This window comes from Homo sapiens, chromosome 1 (assembly GCF_000001405.40).
Source record: "Homo sapiens chromosome 1, GRCh38.p14 Primary Assembly".
NCBI lineage: Eukaryota > Metazoa > Chordata > Mammalia > Primates > Hominidae > Homo > Homo sapiens.
In genome coordinates this window covers 199083208-199089952 of record NC_000001.11, presented here as the reverse complement: position 1 = coordinate 199089952, position 6745 = coordinate 199083208, and the positions used below count along the sequence as shown (strand labels likewise).

The window sequence follows — 6745 nt, the reverse complement described above, 5'->3', positions numbered from 1 at the left end:
ATGCCAACTCCAGTTACTATTCTCCACCCCACAGTTGACACCCACTTCTAAAACCAGAGATGTTGCATATCTCTCACCTTTATCAAAATAAAATTTATCATTGACTAATTTTATTAATTTTAATTGATTTCATTAAAACAAAATGATACTGTATCTATTTAGTTGTGTGTGACTTCCTGTTCAACGTCTTGCTTGGCAAATTTAGAACTGTTTTTGCACACAGTTGTAATCAGTTCCTTCTTACTGACATATGGTATTTCACTAGAATTATGAACATACCAGTACAGGAGTTTTGGTAAACATGTGTATGCATTTCTATTGGGTATATCCTTAGAATTTGAATTGCTAGGCTGTAAGGTATGCATACATTTAGCTTTAGAGGACACTGCCAAAGAGCTTTCTATGAGGTTGTACTAAACTATACTAAACTATGTCTCACACCAACAGTATATGAAACTTGCAGTTGCTACAGATCCTCACCAACACCTGGTATTGTCTGTCTTCTCATGTTAACAATTCCAGTGAGGAAGTAGAGGTATCACATTGTGGTTTTTTAACTTGCATTTTGTCAATGAGTAATAAATATGAGTAACTTTTTCTATATTTATTGACCATTTTAATGTATTTTATGTGAATTGTTTAAGTATTTTGTGCATTTTACTATTCGATTTTCTATCCTTTCCTTATTAGTTTGCAGGTGTTCTTTACAGAGTCTAGATATGATTTTTTGTGTGGGGGGTAAATTTTTTGTAGATATACTCCTTCTTTATTTATTTAATGTTATCATTTGATGAACAGAGCTATTGATTTATCTTTTTGCTTTAGTTTAAAACTATTTGTGTTCTGTTTCTGAAATCTTGGACTACTCTAAAATCATGAAGATGATTGCCCATGTTTTCATCTAAAGCCATTATTGTTTTACCTTAACCACATAGACCACAGTCATTTTTAATTGATTTTTGTGACTTGGGTGAGCAGAAATTAAGATACTTATTTTTCTCAAATAAGTAATCCATTGATGCAGCACCTTTATTGGAAAAACTACACGTTGCCCACTGCACAGCAGTGTTACTTTTGTGATAAATTAGGTTGGCGTATATATGGGTAAAACTGTTTCTTAGTGAGTATATGAAGCACATATAGAAAACTAAAGAGAATAGTATAATTATCCCATACTATCCATCACACAGCTTCAATAATTATCAGTTCATGGACACTTTTCATATACTAGCACTCACTTCTTTCCGCAATTCCAAAGATTATATTATTTATCCATTAGTATTTCAGTATATCTTTCTGAAAGATAAGGTCTTTTTTCTAACATTCTGAAATATTATATTATCACACCTAAAAACTAACATTCACTTAATATCACCAAATGCCCACTTATTGTTCAATTTCTGATTGTCCCATACATTTTTAAGGAGGTGTTCATCCAAATTACATTTTTAAGGACTTGTTCATCTAAATTAGAATTAAAAAATGTTTATGAACCTGAGCAACATAGTGAGAGACCCCATCTCTTAAAAAAAAAAAATTGGCCGGTCATGGTGGCATGCGCCTGTGTTCCCTGCTACTCCAGGAGCTGAGGCAGGAGGATCTCTGGAGCCCAGGATTTTGAGGCTGCAGTGAGGTACGATTACATCACTGCACCCCAGCCTGGGTTGTTGACAGAGTGAGATCCCAGCTCTTAAAAAGAAAATGTTTATACATTGTAATTGGTTGATAGGTCTCTTCAGTCTCTTCTAAAAACTACAGTTTTTCCTCTCTCTCTCGTGCGTGTATGTGTGTGTGTGTGTTCTTTGCGATGAATTTTTAAGAAGCTGGTTCAATAGTTCAGTAGAGTGGTCCACATTTTGGATTTTGTTATATTAGTCAATGATTAGTTCCTATTGGAACAAGACTTTTTTAAAAAAGATTGATTTCTAGGTACTGAAACAAAGCAACAGTTACCTCAATATCACCAAAGTGGAGTACCAGCTGAAGTTTGTGCTAATACCTAATGCTTATGTAAGAAATACACCTATTTTTATAATAGGTTTCTATATGCACTGTCCAAGGGCATTTTAACTGTAGCACTATTGACATTTTGTTTGGGCTGGTGAATTCTTTGTTGTAAGGGGATGTCCTACACTTTGTAGGATGTTTAACAGTATCACTGGCCTCTTTACTTTAGATGCCAGTAGCAGGCCCCAGTTGTGAACATATAAAACACTTATTGTCATTCACCCACTGCTTGCCATTTTTCATCCCTATTCTTTATATTTTCTCACCTTGATCTGTTATAAGTTCCTTGAGAATAGGAGCAATGTCTTAATGAATGAATTGGGGTTATTGATCATTTTTATGCCCTTGTGATATTTGCTTCTGAGGACCAAATGAGATAATCCACAAAAGACTCCCTTCGAACACTTTGCAGGGCCCTGGTAAAAGTGTTGGACATTTTTAGATCCTGTTACTGGTTTTGCCTCACCATTTCCTGCTGCATTGTACTCAGTCCACTGCTATTGACTCCTCCATTTCAAACCAAGCATTTTTGTGTAGTCAGCAATGTTTTTCCATTAATTCTTCTTTCCTTCTTCACACAAATCAACCAACTTTTTCCTCTTGACTTAATTCCCACAGTTTCAAGTTACAGCTTTCCCAGCCTCATCTCTCAGCTTCTCATACACTAATCTTTCTGTGTTTCCCACAGTCAACCTCCCTATTTCTACTCCATTTACCTACACTCCCACCATTCTCTCCCCGAATACACTCCCACGCCATTTCTTCTAATTTATGTCTTCCTCTTCTTCTCTATCTTAATAACATTTTCTCTGCTAATTCCTAAAAATCTGTTGATGTATTCCCCTTTGTATTTCCTAACCTTCTACAATAATTTTTTACTACATTATTATTTTTAAAATTATTGAGTGTCAAACCACAACAAATAAGTTTTAAAAAGTTAAATAAGGCATAGGTCCTGCTCCAGAGGATCTTGGAGAAGAGATAACGGATAAAATAATTTCTGTGCCAAGAGGTCCTGTTATAATGATGCCTCTAATGGTGTTGTGAGACTCACAGATGAAGCAAAAAATTTTGCTTTGAAGAAGGTAAATTATATTTAAAAAGTGGCACTTCTATTTTGTCTTAAAGGGTGTTAACTGAGAAAGAAGTAGGGAAAAGGATTCCAGGCCCAGAAAAGATCACAATTCTTTCTTGGTATGAAGAGTATTCCTTAAGATGGATGCATAGAGTCTCTGAAGTTGAGTGCCTAGAATTTTGTTCTATGTGTGCTACTTCATTGGTCTATTTTAGTCAAAAATCTTATACACTCTTCCATTTGGATTGAAATCTCCAAGGGAGGTTGGAATATAAACGGCATCAAATACCAGACTAATCCACTCACTGATGTTTTGAATAAGCATGGCACTGATAACATGCCTCAAGTTCTGAAAGTCATACAGGGCAACACATCACCCTTTTCAGTTGTCTCTAGACAAAAACAATCATCATGCTCTCTTGGGCAACTGATTTTAATTTCAAAATAAAAGATAACGGCTGAGCACGGTGGTACACACCTGTAATCCTCCTTTGGGAGGCCAAGGTGGGTGGATCACAAGGTCAGGAGATCAAGGCCATCCTGGCCAACATGGTGAAACCCTGTCTCTACTAAAATACAAAAAAATTAGCCAGGGGTGGTGGCACGTGCCTGTAATCCCAGCTACTCTGGAGGCTGAGGCAGGGAATCGCTTGAACCCAGGAGGCAGAGGTTGCAGTCAACCAAGATCACGCCACTGCACTACAGCCTGGTGACAGAGCGAGACTGCATCTCTAAATAAATAAATAAATAAATAAATAAATAAATAAATAAATAAAAACAACTGCATAGAATTCTCTTTCATACTGACCATTTTCAATGAAGAAGAGATTTCAATTCAATGAAGATATAAGATAGTCTAATTGCCTTTTTCTCCATGGTTGTGGTCAGCACAAGAGAGAAAATGTCTCAATTTCCTTTATTTCTTACTACTCTTTCCCTTTCTCTCCCACTCCTACTCTTCTTCCTCTCTGTTCTTTCTTCTTTTCTTCCTCTCTTTTTCTTTCTTCTTTCCTTCTTCAATTTTCCTTTCAAATCAGAGATACTATCTAGATGACAGTTGAGATCCTCCTGGCTGGATTGGGTTTGTGTGTGTGTTGGATTTGACTTCTGTGTGAGTGTGTTGGATTTGATTTCTGTGTGTGTGTGTGTGTGTGTGTGTGTGTGTGTGTTGCCTACCATGGTTTGGGAGGAAATGCTGAGAAAACATACTCGAGCTTGTCAGAAAGGCCTGAGTATGCCCTAAGTCTTCTAATTTTTCCATTACTTTTATAATAAACAGTAGACAGCCTTTTATTTATAAGCTAATATGCAAAGGGAGGCACAGTTCATTCCCATCCATTTGCTCTTCTCTGTGCAGTTAGTAGGGTTGATGTGCCTATTCCCACTGCAGAGATGCTTGCTCGATAGCTCCTGAGTGGCTTGACTGATTTTCAGGAGTTTCAGTGATACTCTTATTCTACCACGAATTTATATTGCTAATTAGTCTGAGAAACATGTATCACGTTTAAGGGGAGAATAAAACTTTCTCTTTTGTCAAGTTATAAAAGCAGCAAATCCTTACTAGCTGTACTGTTCTTTAGGGAGCCAATACCAGGAAAACTTGTTCTATTAGTTGAGGTAAGTAAATCTATGCAGTGAAATGTCCCCAGGAAGATCCCCCCATATTGCACATATTGTTTTATTGTCTTCTTTGTCATTCTTTCTTGTTCCCACTTCTCCCCTTCATCTTAGCATTAAGGTTTTCTAGCTAATCTCTCTCTGACTTAGTGATGAGGTTCATTGCTAACAGAGGGTCATGATCCCCATCCCAGATTTGTTTATCACCATAAGACTTGAAAAAAAACACCACTGATAAATGTACTCACAGCATTATATTCCTTTACAAAATACTCACCATAAAAATATTTAAACGTTGGATAAAATGTTGAAAGATCATTTTGTGTGCTTTCACTAGCTGACTGAGAGACAAAAGTCACTGAAGGAGGAAATTCCAAGTCTTGCTAAAGATCACTCTGTAAATAATAAATCTTTTCTTAAGTCAGAATACAGCATTCTATCCTTCATGAAAAATTCTTACCAAGTTAAAATTTGAAAATCATTTTGTGTGTAGCTTGACCTTCCTTGTGAATGTCATGACAGGCATCTATTACACTAAATTGATAGCTTGAAAAGTTCTGGATCAACATCAGGCAAACAAGAACAGGAATAGACTTTATGTAAGGGCTTGAAGGAGAGACCATCACAGTCTGGCCTACCCTTTCTCTCCCCAGCAGTTTTAATTACATAGTATAAATACATGACCACAGAATCTAAATACATGACCTGGTAGGAGCATTTCTGTGTAAAGTCTGTGGTCACAGGGACAGATGGCAAAGCTTCCAATTGCATCAGCTGTCTCCCTACTACTCAAGAAAAGGCGCATGTTTCTTGTAAAACAACATGCTTTCATCCTGCTGGGGCAGGGACTGAGGAATGAGTGGAAATCACTTTTCCTAGTTGTCACAGAGCCCCAAGAGTGATATAGGTAGACTTTTCACCCTCTTGTGCTTATTCTTAGCACCTCACAAGAATCAAAGTTCGACAACTTGGCAGCTTTGAAAAATGTCATAAGTTGCTTTTCAACTATATTTTCTTTTTCTATGTCTGAAGTGGAAGAAAAGTAGCTGGAAGTAAAATACTGCATTAAAATTTTTTTATACCTTAGTAAATTAATATATTCTACTTATATGGACATTTTAAAAATGAAATGATTACTAGGGAAAATATATGCTGAATCATCTTCAAAACATTTGCACTTGTATTTTTTCACATAGATACAAAACTAAAATAATTTAATATGGATTTGTTTAATACAAACTAAGAGCTGATGTGTTCAGAGATAACACTTGAAACAATGTCAAGGTTAGAGGACATAATCCAGATGTATGTCATCATTTACAAAGCCAAAGCCAAAATTATCTTGAAAATTACAAATTTGGTGGGTTATTTTTAGTGTCAGCCAAGAGGAAAACCCAGGGTTTGTACCATAACAGCAGTGCTTAGTTTTCATGAGTCTGGAATGTAGTCATCAACCCAGCTGAAAATAGGCAACAGCATCAGTGTGTGCTAGAACAGAGACTGCATTGCAGTTGGTGTGTGTGGACAAAGACTAATTCTTAGTATTGTTGGAAAGAGTGACTGCCACATCACAAACTGCTACTGTTCAAACTTCTCAGAAGCTGCATGCAAAATAAAATAAATAAAACAACTATCCAGCACAAACTTTACACAATACCACTTCAATTTCAATGGCATCCCATCATTTGACCAGGATAAATAGGTTTCATATTTGTAAGTATCCATATTTTTAGATTCAATCTATGAAACCAAATATTCTTTAACTAATGGGATAAGATGATGTCTTCTTAGAGAGGAAAAAAAAAAAAAAAAACAAAACACTTGAGCTCTTCTTCTTACCTGAGAGAGAGCTTTGGAAACTCTGGGACTAAACAAATGAAGACAGTACATTGATTTGTTTCTTGTGAAAGAAAAAGCCAGGGGAACTGCACAGCCACAGCATGGCTCATGAAAACCTTTAATCTATTATGGAACTAAGACGTGGTCTTGTTTTCTCCTCAAGCAGCTACAGTCAGTGAAGCTGGGACTCTATTTGCTAAGACAGGA

General features: G+C 36.3%; 1 annotated feature.

Annotated features, from left to right (window-relative positions):
- Positions 312-361: an enhancer, noted in NCBI's record as "active region_2289". NCBI's record gives its function as "activates an Ori minimal core promoter by ATAC-STARR-seq in GM12878 lymphoblastoid cells {active_cell/tissue: GM12878}" and the evidence as "EXISTENCE:reporter gene assay evidence [ECO:0000049][PMID:35858748]".